Genomic DNA, 19175 nt, shown 5'->3' with positions numbered 1-19175 from the left:
TTAAAAAGCACACTACAGGCCAGTGGTGGTGGCTCATGCCTGTAATCCCAGCACTTTGGTAGGCCGAGGACGGTGGACCGCCTGAGGTCAGGAGTTCAAGACCACCCTGACCAATATGCTGAAACCCAGTCTCTACTAACAATACAAAAATTAGCCAGGCATGGTGGCATGCAGCTGTAGTCCCAGCTACTCAGGAGGCTGAGGCAGGAGAACTGCTTGAACCTGGGAGGCAGAGGTTGCAGTGAGCCGAGATAGCGCCATTACACTCCAGCCTGGGTGACAGTGACACTCTCTCTCAAAAATAAATAAATAAATAAAATAAAAAAATAAAACAACAACCATAGAAACCACACTACAACTCAACAACAAAAAGCAACCTGATTCAAAACTGGTCAAAGACTTCAAAGACATTTCTCCAAAGATATATAAATGGCAAATAAGCACAAGAAAAAATGCGCAACATCTAATAATTAGGGAAACGCAAATCATAACCATGTGAAACTGGGCTCATACTTGTAGTTGACACTACTTGGGAGCCTGAGGCAGAAGGACAGCATGAGCCCAGGAGTTCGAGTTCAGCATAAACAACACAGGATCTTAAAAAAAAAAAAAAAAAAAAAAAAAACTCTGCCACATGATACATCACTTCACACCCACTAGGATGGCTATTATTAAAAACAAACTGCCGAGCGCAGTGGCTCACGCCTGTAATCCTAGCACTTTGGAAGGGCGAGGCAGGCAGATCACTTGAGCTCAGGAGTTCAAGACCAGCCTGGCCAACATGGCGAAACCCCGTCTCTACAAAAAATTACCAAAAACGATTAGCCAGGCATGGTGGTATGTGCCTGTAGTCCCAGCTACTTGGCGGGGGTGCTGAGTCAGGAAGATGGCTTGAACCTGGGAAGTCAAGGTTGCAGTGGGCCAAAATCGCACCACTACACTGCAGCCTAGATGACAAAGTGAGATCCTGTCTCAAAAAAACAAGCAAACAAAATAACAAATGCAAGGATGTGAAGAAATTGGAACCCTTGTGCATTACTGACGGGAAAGTAAAATGGTACAGCCATGGGGTTCCCCAAACGCTAACTTACCACTGAACCAGCGATTCCACTATGGTTATATACCCAAGAGAAATGAAGACGGGAACTCAACTAGATATTTGTACACTCACATTCATAGCATGTTCAACACCCAAAAGGTGGAAGCAACCCAAGTGTCTATCGACAGATGAGTGAGTCAACAAAATATGGTATACACACAAAATAGAATATTATTCAGCCTTTTAAAGAAAGGAAATTTTGGCTGGGTGCAGTGGCTCACGCCTGTAACCCCAGCACTTTGGGAAGCCAAGGTGGACGGATCACCTGAGATCAGGAATTCAAGACCAGCGTGGCCAACATGGTGAAACCCCATCTCTACTAAAAACACAAAAAAATTAGCCAGGCGGTAGTTGCACATGCCTGTAATCCCAGCTACTCGGGAGGCTGAGGCAGGAGAATCGCTTGAGCCTGGGAGGTGGAGGTTGCAGTGAGCCAAGACTGAGACACTGCACTCTAGCCTGGGCAACAGAGTGAGACTCTGTCTCAAACAAAAAAAAAAAAAAAGAAAAAAAGAAAAAAAAAATTTTGACAAATGCTACATCATGAATGAACCTTGAAGATATTATGCTAAATGAAATAAACCAGCCATACCCAAAAAAGATTGTATGATTCCATTTATAGGAGGTACCTGGAGTAGTCAACTTCATAAAGGCAGAAAGTAGAATGGTGGTTGCCAGGGGCTGGGGGAAAGGGAGAATTGGGAGTTATTATTTAATGGGTATAGAGTTTCAGTTGAGGAAGATGAAAAAGTTCTGGAGATAGATGGTGGTGATGGTTGCAAAATAATGTCAATGTATTTAAGTGCCACTGAACTGAACACTTAAAAGTCGTTAAAATGGTAAATTTTATTTTACACACACACACACACACACACACACACACACACACAAAGATAAATTAAGAAGTAAAATACAAAGTTAGTGGTCACTCTCCTTTGTTCCTTAGAAAAAGATAAGCGATTCCAAACCAGTCAAAGTAAGCTACCTGCTGCTTTTTGCCCACAATGCTCTGCTCAATCAAGGGGTCTCACAGCCTGTCTTTCCCAGGTAAACTTCCTCAGAGATGACATCAGGGCAATGAGTCAGACCTAACTGGTGACTGTGCAACTATTACAAAAGAAACGGGGAAAGCATTGCAGGACTCAACTGTATAAATCATCAATGAAGCCCTTTAGAGCCAAAGTTATTGAAAAGCGATCTAAACTCTTTAAATTTAGGATAGTATTAAGAAAATGCTGTGTTGATACATTAAAAAGCAAAAATGCGGCCAGGTGCAGTGGCTCAAGCCTGTAATCCCAGCACTTTGGGAGGCCGAGGCAGGTGGATCACCTAAGGTCAGGAGTTTGAGACCATCCTGACCAATATGGTGAAACTCCATCTCTACTAAAAAATACAAAAATTAGGCCAGGCGTGGTGGCCCACGCCTGTAATCCCAGCACTTTGAGAGGCCGAGGCGGGGGGATCACCTGAGGTTGGAAGTTTGAAGACCAGCCTGACCAACTTGGAGAAACTCCGCCTCTACTAAAAATACAATATTAGCTGGGTGTGGTGGCTGGTGCCTATAATCCCAGCTACTCAGGATTACAAGCAGGAGAATCGCTTGAACCCAGAAGGCGGAGGTTGCGGTTAGCCGAGACTACGCCACTGCACTCCACCCTGGGCAACAAGAGCGAAACTCCGTCTCAAAAAAAAAAAAAAGAAAGAAAAATTAGCCAGGCATGATGGCGTACGCCTGTAGTCCCAGCTACTCGGGTGGCTGAGACAGGAGAATCGCTTGAACCCAGAAGTGGAGGTTGCAGTGAGCCGAGATTGAACCACTGCACTCCAGCCTGGGCGACAAAGCGAGACTCCATCTCCAAAAAACAAAGTTTTTATTATGTAACCAATATTTTAATTTCAACTTTGTTTGGTCTATCAGATTTCTCCGGTCATCAGAAACTACAAAGATTTCTAACGGGAAAAGAGCTGATATGATAATGATTAACTGAATTAGTAGAGTGAAACTGACAAAGGAAGAAAGCTTTCTCTTACTAGACAAAGCTGGAGGTGGAAAGAGAACCATAACCAACCACCAACACTAATGTTTCTTTTCTTTCACGACAAGGTCTCGCTCTGTCATCCAGGCTGGAGTGCAGAGGTGCACTCATGGCTCACTGCAGCCTCAACCTCCTGGGCTCAAGCAATCCTCCCACCTCAGCCTCCTAAGTAGCTAGGACAACAGGCATGCGCCACCACACCAGGCTAACACTTAAAATTACTTGTAGAGACAGGATCTCACTATGTTGCCCAAGCTAGTAATTTTTCCTCTGATTACAATGACCCTTTATTGCTGATATAAACAACTAATAACACTTCCTAAAGATTACTTAGTACAAAATCTGGACCTCAGAAATTAACTTCTTAAAGCTCTCCTACTATCCATCTAGACTTCACCTCTGAATATTTATAAACATCAAACAAATCTAAACCTTAGGCAGGTACTGGCTCCACTTAAGTAATAAATTAATCAATAGGTAAGATTTAGGCTTAACTAGATTTAGTGTTGATGGTCACTAAAGTGATGGTAAAGGCTGGGCATAGTGGCTCAATCCTGTAACCCCAGCACTTTGGGAGGCCGAGGAGGGTGGATAACCTGAGGTCAGGAGTTTGAGACCAGCCTGACCAATATAGTGAAACCACGTCTCTACAAATAATACAAAAATTTGCCAAGAGTGGTGGCACACGCCTGCAGTCCCAGCTACGTGGGAGGCTGAGACAGGAGAATTGCTTGAATCTGGGAGGCGGAGATTGCAGTGAGCCAAGATCCCGCCACTGCACTCCAGCCTGGGTGACAGAGTGAGACTGTCTCAAAAAAAAAAAAAAAAAAAAAAAAAAAAGTGATGGTAAAATCAAACACAATAATTAATCAGTTTTATTATTCCTCATCTATTCTCAAGTCCAATAGTTTACATAAATGAGAGGAAAAAAATCATTAAAATACTGCATTTTATAAAAGTGCCTTATTTTGGCAGAAAATGCTGTTTAAAATTGTGTTTAAATATGCTTTATGTGGTTAGCATGCTCACAAAAGATTAAGTATAGGCCGGGCATGGTGGCTCACGCCTGTAATCCCAGCACTTTGGGAGGCCGAGACAGGTGGATCACCTGAGGTCAGGAGTTCAAGACTAGCCTGGCCAACATGGAGAAACCCCAACTCTAATAAAAATATAAAAAAAAATTAGCTGGGCACAGTGGCGCATGCCTGTAGTCCCAGCTACTCAGGAGACTGAGTGGGAGAATCGCTTGAACCTGGGAGGCAGAGGTTGCAGTGAGCCGAGATCATGCCACTGCACTCCACCCTGGGCAACAGAGTGATATTCTGTCTCCAAAAAAAAAAAAAAAAAAAGGTTAAGTATAAGTAATTATTTGGGATCCAATTACAGCAGTAGTTAATGTTTTAAAGTTTACTACTATCTTTTGGTAGAGTTAAGCAAAAGGATTATGTTGATCAACAGGGTATCTGGTAGATAATTAAAGCTTACCCAAAAAGAATAAAGGAATATTATTCACCTTTATAAAGGAATGAAATTATGATACATGTGACAAGACAGATGAGCCTTGAAAATATTATGCTAAGTGAAATAAGCCAGACACAAAAGGACAAATGCTGTGTGGTTCCACATATATGGGTACCTAGAGCTGTCAAGAATTCATGAGGACAGAAAGCAGAACAGTAGTCAGCAGAGGCTAAGAGAGGGAGGAATGGGAGTTATTGTTTAATGATAATGGATAGTGGTGATGGTCACACAATATTAATGTACTTAATGGCACAGAACTATACACTTAAAAATGGTTAAAATGAGGCCAGGAATGGGTGGTTCACACCTGTAATCCCAGCACTTTGGGAGGCCGAGGCGGGCGGATCACCTGAGGTCGGGAGCTCGAGATCAGCCTGACCAACATGGAGAAACCCTGTCTCTACTAAAAATACAAAATTAGCCAGGCGTGGTGGCACATACCTATATTCCCAGCTACTCAGGAGGCTGAGACAGGAGAATTGCTTGAACCCGGGAGGCAGAGTTTGCGGTGAGCCAAGATCGCGCCACTGCACTCCAGCCTGGGCAACAAGAGCGAAACTCTGTCTCAATAAAAATAAAAATAAAAAGGTAAATATTATGCTGTGTATATTTTACTACAATTTAAAAAAACTTTTTTGAAGACTTATAAGCTTTGGCATTAAAAATACAATATGGGCCGGGCGCGGTGGCTCACGCTTGTAATCCAGCATTTGGGAGGCCAAGGCAGGCAGATCAGGAGGTCAGATCGAGCCCAACCTGGCCAACATGGTGAAACCCCGTCTCTACTAAAAATACAAAAATTAGCTGGTGTGGTGGCGCGTGTCTGTAATCCCAGCTATTCTGGAGGCTGAGGCACGAGAATCATTTGAACCCAGGAGGCGGAGGTTGCAGTGAGCCAGGGTCACATCACTGCACTCCAGCCTGGCGAAAGAGCGAGACTCCGTCTCAAAAAAAAAAAAAAAAAAAAAAACAACCATAATATGGTAGTTTTAGGATCTACTGTCCTAATAACAGTAGCAAAAATGGAAAGAGGCTACGTTTTTGTTAATCTATTATTAAGAATCATGTGACTTCTTTTTGGGTGGGCTTTACTGGACCCTTCACACTCAGAAAACCTTGTACTCAAGTAACTCAAAGCAAAAAGCATCAAACATGCATGCTCCCTGAAAGCAGTAAGCAGATGTAACATGTCTGCCTAAGAACAAGAAATCCTTCCAACGTGGCAGCAGTCTTTATTTAAGAGACAAAAAAGATGAGAAAATTTAAACTGTCAAATACAATGGGATTTTCTCATTCCCTTAGTCACACGGTATATAGAATCTGATATTTCTTGTATGAAAAAACTAAAATGTTTCAGAAGGCACAGGCCAAGAAAGCACACAGATCAAGTGAGTGTGTGTGTGTTTTAATTCCAAGTGGTCACATACAACTGATGTAGCCTTACCAAACCCATAAGCAAATTTGAAGTTTGAGGTTTTTGCCTTTTCTGTCGCCCAGGCTGGAGTGCAGTAGTGCAATCTTGGCTCATTGCAACCTCCATTTCCTGGGTTCAAGTGATTCTTAAGCTTCAGCCACAAGTAGCTAGGATTACAGGCACACGCCACCACACCCGGCTAATTTTTGTATTTTTAGTAGAGACAGGGTTTTGCCATGTTGACCAAGGCTGATCTCAAACTCCTGGCCTCAAGTGATCCTCAAGCCTTAGCCTCCCCCAAAGTGCTGGGATTACGGCGGGAGCCACTGCAATTGGCTTGCTTTTTTTTGTTTTTTTTTAAGAGACAGGGTCTCGCTCTGTTGCCCAGGCTTGAGTGTACTGGCCTTTTTTCAATTTAACTTTGATACTAATGACATCTCCTCTCTATCCAGAATGAAAAAGAAGTTTGCTCTTTCCTGCTTCTGAACTCTCCATTAGGGCAGTTGCAGGGACAAGGAGTTAGAAAGGCACCTAACTCCCTACCAGAAAGCCTAAGCCATCCGCTATTTGGTATACTTTTTTGTTTATTTATAAATGACTACGAATTACTCAGTAAGAAACCTCAGGCTAAAATTCTTCTGCTTAAATATAATTACTTCTCTGCAGTTTCTTCCAGTGACAGATACAAAGCTACAGTCCAAGATGGCTCCACACACCATGACACAGCATATTCAGGAAGCTAATCTGCCCCTCCCTACCACCATCGAAAATAACATATAAAGAATCACAGAACTCCTCCAGTTTGGGTTATACAAATGATGCCTAGAAGCAACACAGATGTGTATTATTTCTGTCTTCTAATTCCAACAACTGAATTCCAGTCTATTAGCACCAGTATGTAAACAGACATATTTTAAACCTCTATCAAAAGTACTAGCCATCACTTAAAAATGATCATCAGATGAAAGTGTTTTTGTTGTTGTTGTTGTTGTTTGAGACAGAGTTTCACTCTTGTTGCCCAGGCTGGAGTGCAATGGCGCAATCTCAGCTCACTGCAACCTCCACCTCCTGGGTTCAAACGATTCTCCTGCCTCAGCCTCCTGATTAGCTGGGATTACAGGTGCATGCCACCACGCCCAGCTAATTTTGTATTTTTAATAGAGATGGGGTTTTGCCATGCTGACCAGCCTGGTCTTGAACTCCTGACCTCAGGTGATCTGCCTGCCTCAGCCTCCTAAAGTGCTGGGATTACAGACGTGAGCCACCGTGCCCCGCCCAAAGTTGTTTTTTAAATTTTAAAAATAAATTTACTCTGGTTATTTGATTTTCTCCTTGGGAAATTAATTTATTTAGGGGCTTTGATATTAACATATTTCTAAGCCTGGAACCTGGACTTTGAAATAAATATTTCGGTTGAGCCATTCCCTCAGCCACCCTGGAAACAGGCATTTTAGCCTGACCAACACTTGAAGTGTTGAAGATGGAATCTGGAAGTAGTTCAGTTTATATTTTAGGCATAACAGTCCCAAGAGGCTTTTCTATTAACCCATCATTTCCAAGAGAATAGAAGGGTTTAGGGAATTTAAAAAAAGAAAAATAACAAACTCTATTTGTCTTTAAACAAAATGAAAAGCACTAAATTGATACACAAATTATTTTGTGACATTACAGCTTAATAGAGCTTGCTTCTAGAAGAGCACTGTCCAGTAGAAATATAAGCCACAAAATTTTAATTTTCAAATAGTCATATTTTAAAAAGTAAAACGAAGAGCTGGGAGCAGTGGCTCACGCCTGTAATCCCAGCACTCTGAGAGGCAGAGGTGGGCGGATCACGAGGTCAGGAGATCGAGACCACCCTGGCTAACAAGGTGAAACCCCATCTCTACTAAAAATACAAAAAGAAAATTAGCCAGGCATGGTGGAAGGTGCCTATAGTCCCAGCTACTCGGGAGGCTGAGGCAGGAGAATGACGTGAACCGGGGAGGCGGAGCTTACAGTGAGCCAAGATTACGCCACTGCACTCCAGCCTGGGCGACAGAGCGAGACTCCATCTCCAAAAAAAAAAAAAAAAAAAAAAAAAGTAAAAAGAAACAGATGTAATTAATGTAGTAATATGCTTTATTTAACCTAATATATTCAAAATATCATTTGAACATGTAGCCAACATAAATAAGTTTTTTTTTTTTAAAAAAACCAGGTCTCCAGAACTTGATGTGTATATTTTTAAACAGTTCTACTGAGATATATGTGAATTTATTAACATGACACCATGACATTAGTTTTTCTTAATGGTTTTTATATTAGCCCAGGTACAGCGGCTCATGCATGTAATCCCAGTGCTTTGGGAGTCCAAGGCAGGAGGATCACTTGAGGTCATGAGACCTAGACCAGCCTGGGCAACATAGCGAGACCCTATCGCTTAAAAACAAAAAACAAAAAACAAGGCCGGGCGCGGTGGCTCAAGCCTGTAATCCCAGCACTTTGGGAGGCTGAGGTGGGCAGATCACGAGGTCAGGAGATCAAGACCATCCTGGCTAACATGGTGAAACCCCATCTCTACCAAAAATACAAAAATTAGCCGGGCGTGGTGGCGGGTGCCTGTAGTCCCAGCTACTCGGGAGGCTGAGGCAGGAGAATGGCGTGAACCCAGGAGGCGGACCTTGCACTGAGCCGAGATGGTGCCATTACACTCCAGCCTGGGCGACAGAGCCAGACTCCATCTCAAAAAAAAAAAAAAAAATTTAGCTAAGTGTGGTGGCATGTCTATAGTCTCGGCTACTTAGGAGGCTGAGGTGAGGGGATCCCTTGAGCCCAGGAGTTCAAGGTTGCAGTGAGCCATGATTGCACCACCACTCCAGCCAGGGTGACAGAGCAAGACTGCCTCTAAAAAAAAATTTTTTTCATAGCAATTATTTCCAAATGTGCTAAACCTCTAAGTGTTAGCTCCTGTAAACGGAATTTCTTTGTTAAAACCCACACACATATATTTCTGGGCTACGCTTAAGCATTACAAAGGCCTACCATTTTCTCCTGAAGGATGATATGCTGGTTTATTAGGGAGGTTTTTGTTTCTAGCTAGGATATCCAGTACTGCAGCCACTAGTCACATGTGGCTATTGAGCACTTGAAATGTGGCTATTCAGTGCACCAGTACTGATCAATGCTATAACACGGATGAACTGCAAAAACATATTAAGTGAAAGAAACCAGTCACAAAAGACCGCAATATGGTATGATTTTCCTTCTATTAAATGGCCAGAATAGGCTATAGAGATAGATTAGCAGTTGCCTTGGGCTGGGGGAGAAAAAGAATGGAGAGCAACTGCTAACGGGTATGAGGTTTCTTTTCGGGGTCATGAAAATGCACTAGTTTCATTATGGTGATGGTTGCAAAATGCTGTAAATGTATTAAAAAGCATTAACTGTCCACTTAAATGGGTGAATTTTACAGTGGAAGTTGCAGTGAGCAGAGATTGCACTCCAGCCTGGGAAGCAGAGCAAGACCCAGTCTTAAAAAAAAAAAAAAAAAAAAAACCTGAGTCAAAATCTAAAAATATCAACCAGGCCGGGCACGGTGGCTCATGCCTATAATCCCAGCACTTTGGGAGGTCGGGGTGGGCGGATCATAAGGTCAAGAGTTCGAGACCAGCCTGGCCAACATGGTGAAACTCAGTCTCTACTAAGAATACAAAAATTAGCTGGGTGTGGTGGTGCGTGCCTGTAATCCCAGCTACTCGGGAGGCTGAGGCAGGAAAATCGCTTGAACCCGGGAGGCAGAGGTTGCAGTGAGCCTAGATCACATGAAAAATAAAAATAAAAATGTCAACCTGATGTTATTGAACTGTATATAATGTGTTCCCACCTATTTGTAAGAAAATGTTTTACTGCCCTCATCTTAGCATATATTTCTAATCTACATCTCTCTTCCATACCAAATGAAAGTTTTTAGAGGATGAGTGAAATTCTTAGAAACGAACTCTGCAAAGACATTTTTAAAGCTATTTCACTTACTGTTTTGTCTACCTGGACATAGGAAGTTTATTTATAGTACAAAGTGGATTTGGAAAGATGTTCTATAGGCCGGGTGCGGTGGCTCATGCCTGTAATCCCAGCACTTTGGGAGGCCGAGGCGGGTGGATCACCTGAGGTTGGGAGTTCGAGACCAGCCTGGCCAGCATGGTGAAACCCCAACTCTACTGAAAAATACAGAAATTAGCTGGGCATGGTGGCAGGCACGTGTAATCCCAGCTACTTGGGAAACTGAGGCAGAAGAATCACTTGAACCCGGGAGATGGAGATTGTAGTGAGCCAAGATGGCGCCATTGCTCTTCAGCCTGGGCAACAGAGTGAGACTCCATCTCAAATAATGGGGAAAAAAAAAAGGTGTTCTATAGAGATATCATAATTTCTAGCACCAGTAAACTCCAGTAGCATATAACTTAATGAATAACTAATAAGTAAGTAAATGACCAGAGAGTGCTCTTTCCATTTTCTCACACAGGAATGGACAGCAAGACTACCCTTTGAAGCCAATTCAGTTTGTACTCTAAGACACAGATTGATAGAGGGGTGCTTGTATAAAGAATAAAACCTCAGCTAATTCTGAACTCCAGGAAATGCTAATGTTGGCCAGGCACGGTGGCTCATGCCTGTAATCCCAGCACTTTGGGAGGTTGAGGTGGGCAGATCACTGGAGGTCAGGAGTTTGACACCGGTCTGACCAACATGGTGAAACCCCATCTCTACTAAAAATACTAAAATTAGTTGGGCGTGGTGGCACATGCCTGCAATCCCAGCTACTCAGGAGGCTGAGGCAGGAGAACTGCTTGAACCTGGGAGGCGGAGGTTGCAGCAAGGCGAAATCAAGCCATTGCACTCCAGCCTGCGTGATAAAAGCAAAAAACCCCGTCTCAAAAAAAAAAAAAAAAGAAAAGAAAAGAAAGAAAGAAAATGCTAATGTTTATTTTAAAATGAGAATTCCTACATTTTCCTTAATTTCTGGACACGCATGATTCCTTGTTTGGGGCAAGGTAAATTTGTGCCTTGGCTTCTAAGAATGACCATAGAGAACTTCCAAGTACAAACACCCCAAAAGAGATATAAGGAAAGAACAAGATCACCTAAACTGCAATGAGTAAAGTTTTACCATAAGTAAAAATGATTGGCCGGGCGCAGTGGTTCATGCCTGTAATCCCAGCACTTTGGGAGGCCGAGGCAGGTGGATCACCTAAGGTCAGGAGTTCAAGACCAGCCAACCAACATGGCAAAACCCTGTCTCTACTAAAAATACAAAATTAGCTGGGCATGGTGGCGCATGTCTGTAATCCAGCTATTCCGAAGACTGAGGCAGGAGAATCACTTGAACCCAGAAGGTGGAGGTCGCGGTGAGCCGAGATCGCGCCATTGTACTCCAGCCTGGGCAGCAAGAGCAAAACACTGTCTCAAAAAAAAAAAGAGTTTACATACTTTGGCTGGGTGTGGTAGCTCATGCCTATAATCCCAGCACTTTGGGAGGCAAAGCTGGGCGGATCACCTGAGGTCAGGAGTTCGAGACCAGCCTGACCAATATGGCGAAACCCTGTCTCTACTAAAAATACAAAAATTAGCCAGGCGTGGTGACGTGTGCCTGTAATCCCAGCTACTAGGGAGGCTAAGGCAGGAGAACCACTTGAACCTGGGAGGTGGAGGCTGCAGTGAACCGAGATCATGCTACTGCACTTCCGCCTGGGCAACAGAGCAAGACTCTTGCCTCAAAAAAAATAATAAAATTAAAAAAAAAAAAGAGTTTACATAGTTTGCTTCCAAGTCAAACAAATACAATTTGACATGGCAGTTTTTATTTTTAAATTTGTTGTTTTCAGGAGGCTGAGACAAGAGAATCGCTTGAACCCAGGAGGTGGAGGTTGCAGTGAGCTGAGACAGCACCACTGCACTCCAGCCTGGGTGACAGAGTGAGACCCCGTCTCAAAAAAAAAGACAAATAAATAAAATAAAATAAAATTTGTTATTTAAAACTTTAATCTGCGTAATTACTTGTTATTATTTTTAATTTTGGGGTTTTTATTGAGACGGAGTGTCCCTCGGTCACCCAAGCTGGAGTGCAGTGGTGCAATCTTGGCTCACTGCAACCTCTGCCTCCAGGGCTCAAGCGATTCTCCTGCCTCCGCCTCCCGAGCAGCTGGGATTATAGGCGTCCACCATACCACCATGCCCAGTTAATTTTTGTATTTTTTTCGTAGAGACTGGTTTCACCATGTTGGCCAGGTTGGTCTCGAACTCCTGACCTCAAGTGATCCACCCGCCTCAGCCTCCCAAACTGCTGGGATTACAGGTGTGAGCCACCGTACCTGAAGGACTTGTTTTTTTTTTTTTAAGAGATGAGGTCTTGCTATGTCTCAAACACCAGGCCTCCCACATCAACTTCCAGAGAAGCTACAGGAACATACCATCAGACCAGGCTTGACTTTCTGATTTTTAGCAACATTAAAAATTTTTTTCGGCCAGGCACAGTGGCTCACGCCTGTAATCCCAGCACTTTGGGAGGCTGAGGCAGGCAGATCATGAGGTCAGGAGATCAAGACCAGAAGATCGAGACCATCCTGGCTAACATGGTGAAACCCAGTCTCTACTAAAAATACAAAAAATTAGCTGGGCGTGGTGGCGGGCGCTTGTGGTCCCAAGCTACTCGGGAGACTGAGGCAGGACAATGGCGTGAACCCGGGAGGCGGAGCTTGCAGTGAGCTGAGATCGTGCCACTGCACTCCAGCCTGGGTGACAGAGCAAGACTCCGTCTCAAAAAAAAAAAAAAAAAAAAAATTCAGGCCAGGCACAGCTCACACCTGTAATCCCAGCACTTTGGGAGGCAAAGGCAAGCGGATAGCTTGAGCCTAGGAGTTCAAGACCAGCCTGGACAACACAGTGAGACTCCATCTCTACAAAAAATACAAAAATTAGCCCAGCGTGGTGGTGTGTGGCTGTAATCCCAGCTACTTGGGAGGCTCAGGTGCAATGATAGCTTGAGCCCAGGAAGTCAAGGCTGCAAATGTGCAAATTACCACTGCACTCCAGCCTGGGCGACAGAGCAAGAACCTATCTCAAAAATCAACCAATCAATCATCCAGAGTAAATTAAAACCCACAAGACATCATGTCATGTCACAACTTTGCCACCAAAACCTATTTTAATTCCTTCCACCTAAGAAACCAAAATAAAAAACCTCAGTACAACCTAATTGGTAAGAATGAGAAGGGGTGAGAGGGACAGTTCTTTATTTCAAATGGACTAACCTAACTAAAAGCAACGCTCCTGGGGACTTTGGTAATAAACTCCTTGTCACCAAATGCTGACCATGTTGTGATGTGGCCAAGCACTGGCAGTGCAGAAGCAGTTTTACAGAAGCCGTAGCTTCTAAAAGGTAGAAGACTAAAAGTTACCATTAAAGCAAGGGTTAATAACAGAAAGATGTATTAAAAATAGAGTTTGTACCAGCTTGCAGTCGGGCGTTCACCCTGGCTAGATCTGAAATCCTCCTCTCCAGGAACACTAAGGCACAGCCGTCCTGCCCCTCCCACCGCCTGGCCCAGTCACCACGCAGCAGCCGGGTCCCTGCGCCCCGCCCCTGGACTGAGGGCTGTGGAGAAACTCTGGCAAAACAAGGAAGCCTCCGGGAGGTGGCAAGCAGCCAACTCAAACTGGATGGTTCCAGTTTAGGCTGGTTCGAGTCACAAACAACAGTTCCTATTTTCCCCCACAATATTCAGACGCAGGGGCTGCCCAGATGAGCGCTTCTCATCTGCTTCCAGAGCTAAGGCTACCTGGTTCTCATTCCTCTGCAGTCGAGCATCCTAACTAAAAGCAAGGTTCCCACTTCAGCAATATGGGTCAGCCCAGTACTTGTTTCCAAAATGGAATGCCTATTCTGTACAAGACCCTGCAGCTGACAACACCTACACATCTAAAACAAAAACAAAAAAACAAAACTTTACTAAAATGCTGTATTTGACCAAAAAAGGAAATCCAGAAAGGAAACAGACCTATTTACAGGTATCCATTATGAGAGCTATGCCTACCAGAACAATTAAGTAAGTACTCTTCCATTTCCATATTTAGCACAAAAAAGGCTTGGTTGGCTAATATGACCCCCTAAAACAGAAGGTTGTGTGTTGCTTATTGCACAATAACAAACGATGCAAGCAATACAGGAGCCAAAAAAAATAATGTGTTTCCAAACTGTGGGCTCTTCAGTGACCTCTGCAGTTTGTCTGCCACTGATGGGAAAAAAAGGGTTTTTTTGGTGTATTTCTTGTCCAAAGCACACACTGCTGAACATTTATTCCATGCTGCTAAACAGTACCAAAATAGCATTAAGCAGGGAACAAGCAAATGCTTATTCTTTTGTAAAGTATTTAAGAGAGCCGCTCAAAATGAGGCACGACCTAATGTTTCTCAAGTATTACAGACACTAATATGCCTGCTGTTCTTTTTCTTCCCTAACCCTTCCAAGTAGGTAACTTTTTAAAGAATTTAGATACACATATTTTAAGGAAAGAGCATACTTAATCATACACAGTCAATAAAACCATTAATTGGCTCTTACAGGAGTCCATCACAAAGAATAATTATAAACGTCAAGATAGAAACTCCACGTACACTTCCTCTTGTATGCTTAAAAAGAAACTTCATGTAACAGTTGGAAAGGTCCAAAGCAATGAATATGTTTTAATCATAACACTAATTTTCAGCAAGAAATTCTCCCTTTTGAAACCTCTAGACGATCTAAAAAAGTAATAACGAAGCAGAACAAACTAATTAAAATCAAAGAATGGGCTGGGCGTGGTGGCTCATGCCTGGGCAACAGAGCGAGACTCCATCTCAAAAAAAAAATAAAGAATCACAAAGCTACAAAACAAAATTATATCTACCACTGAATCCAGAAATTATTTGCCTATTCATTATTATAGGTAACTTTGGATAATAAATCAGACAAATTTGTTTCTATGATCATCACCGAAAAATGATCACTAATTATTAATTTGTTTAATACTTTAAAACACTGACTTTTAGGCCAGGCTCAGTGGCTCATGCCTGAAATCCCAGCACTTTGGGAGGCGGAGGCAGGTGGATCACTTGAGGCCAGGAATTTGAAACTAGCCTGGGTGGTCAACATGGCGAAAACCCATCTTTATTAAAAAATACAAAAATTAGCTGGTGGCACAACCTGTAATCCACCTACTAGGGAGGCTAAGGCAGGAGAATCGCTTGAACCTGGGAGGCAGAGGTTGCAGTCAGTTTAGATTGCACCACTGCACTCTAGCCCGGTGACGAAGTAAGACTCTGCCTTTAAAAAAAAAAAAGAAAGAAAAAGAAAAACAAAAGGAAAAGGAAAAGGAAAGGAATTGACTTTTACTTCATATATATTTTAAAACTGCTGCTATGTCTGGCAGTTCCCAGCACATGCCACGTATCATAAGAAACTGTACAGCCAGGTAATAAAATTAGCATTCCTTCTCCCAATTGACACCTGAATGCACATACCTGTTTTTAAAAAAAGAGAGAGAGAAATGGAAGGTACATTGTCACTTTGATACATACAATGCCACCATTCTTAATGGTTTTCCTCACCTTTATAGCCTCATCCACATTCTTTCACAAGACTACAAAAATGACAGCATTTTTGAAAAATTTTCTACTTGAACTTGGAAGAAAATAATTTCTCCTAACTAAAATAAGTTAACTGCAAAATCTCCTCAAGAAAAGACAAAAGGATATGTGAGTAAAATTCCCCCTCTAGGAAAGAAACTATAATATCTAAATTGTTCATGATTTGCAGATTTGGTCTTTACAGAAAAAAAATGCTTCTTATTAGACTGCAGACTTTCATGCTTTTTTAAGTTAAAAGGGTCATATTCCTTTTTATTACCTTATATCTGTTGTTAAAATCCAGAATTCATTAAATATTCTAATTACTGTTAACCCATAAAACAAGCCGAGCGCTGTGGCTCATGCCTGTAATCCCAGCACTTTGGGAGGCCAAAGCGGGCAGATCACAAGGTCAGGAGATCGAGACCATCCTGGCTAACATGATGAAACCCCCATCTCTACTAAAAATACAAAAAATTATCCGGGCGGGGTGGCGGGCGCCTGTAGGCCCAGCTACTCGGGAGGCTGAGGCAAGAAAATGGCGTGAACCCAGGAGGCGGAGCTTGCAGTGAGTCGAGATCACACCACTGCACTCCAGCCTGGGCGACAGAACAAGACTCTGTCTCAAAAAAAAAAAAAAAAAAAAGAATCTTAAATTGTCTAACATTAGGAAAAAAAGTAATAGGGTTATAGATAACTTTTGATATACTTTACTCAGCATATGTAATTAAAAAAAAATATACAGACAGGTTGTGCAAAGAATACCATCAGTAATAAGAAATACTTTCATTTCCCTTTCAATTAAAAAGTAAATTGTTTTAGGCCGGGCACAGTGGCTCACACATGTAATCCATTTAGCCAAAAAATTAGCCAGATGTGGTGGCGCATGCCTATAGTCCCAGCTACTCAGGAGGCTGAGGCGTGAGAGTTGCTCCACCCGGGAGGTGGAGGTTGCAGTGAGGCGAGATCACACCACTGCACTCTAGCCTGGGCAACAACACAAGACTCTGTCTCAAAAAAAAAGAAAAAAAGTACATCGTTCTAATGCAAAGCTAACACACTGGAGAAGAGAGAGACATAAGACTTTCCATATCTTAACATGGCAGAAGAGCTGAAAAGTTTGGTTACTTGAAGTTCTTCTATATGCTTTCCTTGTTACTTTAAGCAAACACCACAAAGGGTTTCACATGTCTGCTTCCCCGCCCAGGAACTGTGTGTGTGTCTTTCTTTCCCCCATTCCTGTTCCCAAGCTTCTCCCTTATATCTTCTAGCTTATGACAATGCAAAGTAAATTTTAATAATGTAACAACTATATAATGAAAATGTGAGAAATACATTTTTTAAAAATCAGCTCATTCTAATTTTTAAAATCTATTTAAGAAGAAAGCTTGCTCTAAAATTCCAATCTCTGGTGGGTGCAGTGACCCTGTCACCCATTGCCTCCTTTCCCCTCTCTCTTCTGGGAAGAAGGGGGTTTCCTGCTGAGGAGGGAAGGGAAACTTCATCCTAGCCCCATGACTCAGACTTGGTTGGACCCTGGGGGAACCAAGAGCCCCAGGGGGGCTGTGGCCTGTGATGCTGCCAAGCAGAGCCATGAGGGCCTACCAACCTACTCTTCTGCCATCACTCTGAAACTTGAGCATTACCCAACACCTGCCAGCCCTCTAGGCTGTGCCTTTCATCCTAGTACAGGTGTGTCCCATTGTATATGCCCAGTTTGCGTCAGCTGTCCACACCATCTAGTTAGTACCTGTGCATTCCTCGGCTCATGGCAAATAAGAATTTTCTTTTTTTGAAATGGAGTCTTGTTCTGTTGCCCAGGCTGGAGTGCAGTGGTACGATCTTGGCTCACTGCAACCTCCATCTCCCAGGTTCAAGCGATTCTCGCACCTCAGCCACCATAGTAGCTGGGATTACAGGCGCCCACCACTACACCTGGCTAATTTTTGTATTTTTAGTAGAGATGGGGTTTCACCATCTTGGCCAGGCTGATCTTGAATTCCTGACCTCATGATCTACCCGCCTCAACCTCCCAACGTGCTGGGATTACAGGTGTGAGCCACTGCACCTGGCCTAAAGGAAATTCTTACAACTTGATTGGGGGGGCGGGAATCCAATAATAGGGAACTATAGAAATAAAGTATGTTCAACTTCAATCAAGGGATTTTAAAATAAATGCTTCTGTGGAATTTACGCATTTAAAATGTTCTGTTGAAAGGAAATGTGGCTCAATAAACGGCCATGACAGAGAAACAAAAAGACGTCGAGCAGTACATAGCAGCACATGGAGCCATGAAGGCCCAGTTCTCACCAGTAAAATACTGTAAATGGTTTTGCAGAAACAATAGATGTGTTATTTATAAGGACTTCACAACTAGACTGCCATTAATCCCATGTTTACTCATCTGAAATACCCCACTAGCAATCTCTTCATCAAAAGTGTAACTATTAATAAGGATGGAGGGTGATTAATTTCCCCATCAGTCATGGAGACAGAAGACAAACTTGTTTCCATAGGTAAAACCAAGCTATATTTTGTCCACTATACGAGTGCTAACTTTAAACATCTTTAAAGGACTTTCAGGAATGTCACAGTTTCACAAGTTGTAAAGATCACAAGAAATAACTTATTTCTTCCAAAAGGAAAACTGAACATTCTGAATTTCATAACATCTCAAAATATTACACTTTGAATTCAATATAATTAAAGAGGAAAAGAGAACATCTGATAAAAGGGAATAATGTAAACTGAACACCAGAGGATTATTTCTGTACACTTGCTTCAATCACAATTTAAATGACAAAAACTTTTAGCTATCTACATCAATTTTGCTTTATCCTTCATGTTAACTAAGAACTGTATCTAAGTATTTCAACTACTTATTGGACATGTATTCTGAGAAAGGCAATATACTAGGTTCTGTGATATGCATTCAGGCCACTCAGTCTTGTTCTTTCATATCACCAGAAAGTTCATTCTGCTTTTTACACATCAGGATAATCTGATTCTTAATACAATGTCTCTCCCACCTGTTCCAAATTTTCCTTCTCTGAGGTACCAAGAGTAGGAAAAACAGAGATTATGGATAAGTCACCAGTTGCCTTTCTAAAGCAGAGATCTCAACAAGCTATCTCCTTTCTTAAATCTTTTAATGGCCCTCTCTGCATACAGAATAAAACCCAAAAGTTGGGCGTGATGGCTCACACCTGTAATCCTAGCACTTGGGAGGCAGAGGAGGGAAGATCGCTTGAAGCCAGGAGCTCAAGACCAGCCTGGACAACAAAGTGAGACTTTGTCTCTACGAAAAATTTAAAAATTAGCAAGGTGTAAGTGATGTGCACCTATAATCCCAGCTACTCAGGAGACTGAAACAGGAGGATGGTTTGAGCCCAGGAGCTATGACCACTGCACTCCAGCAGCCTGGGCAACAGAGCAGGATTCTGTCTCTTCAAAATAAAAAAAAAA

At 42.6% G+C, this 19175-nt stretch overlaps 1 protein-coding gene across 1 annotated transcript in view, besides 3 other annotated features; it reads right to left on the bottom strand.

Annotated features, from left to right (window-relative positions):
* SPEN (spen family transcriptional repressor) overlaps nt 1-19175 on the bottom strand; it is a 92750-nt gene that overhangs the window by 40294 nt on the left and 33281 nt on the right. The gene's annotated exons all lie outside the window — the stretch shown is intronic.
* Nucleotides 6721-6865: an enhancer, noted in NCBI's record as "145 bp enhancer 216 fragment used in the MPRA reporter construct; PK_construct_3899". NCBI's record gives its function as "activates an SV40 promoter by MPRA in HepG2 cells {active_cell/tissue: HepG2}" and the evidence as "EXISTENCE:reporter gene assay evidence [ECO:0000049][PMID:23512712]".
* Nucleotides 6732-6791: an enhancer, noted in NCBI's record as "active region_251". NCBI's record gives its function as "activates an Ori minimal core promoter by ATAC-STARR-seq in GM12878 lymphoblastoid cells {active_cell/tissue: GM12878}" and the evidence as "EXISTENCE:reporter gene assay evidence [ECO:0000049][PMID:35858748]".
* Nucleotides 6788-6798: a transcriptional cis regulatory region, noted in NCBI's record as "NFE2L2 motif; enhancer activity is reduced when this motif is scrambled". NCBI's record gives its function as "necessary for full MPRA enhancer 216 activity {active_cell/tissue: HepG2}" and the evidence as "EXISTENCE:site-directed mutagenesis evidence [ECO:0005528][PMID:23512712]".

The sequence above is a fragment of the Homo sapiens genome, chromosome 1 (assembly GCF_000001405.40).
Source record: "Homo sapiens chromosome 1, GRCh38.p14 Primary Assembly".
Taxonomy (NCBI): Eukaryota; Metazoa; Chordata; class Mammalia; order Primates; family Hominidae; genus Homo; species Homo sapiens.
This window is presented reverse-complemented; position numbering and strand designations above follow the sequence as displayed.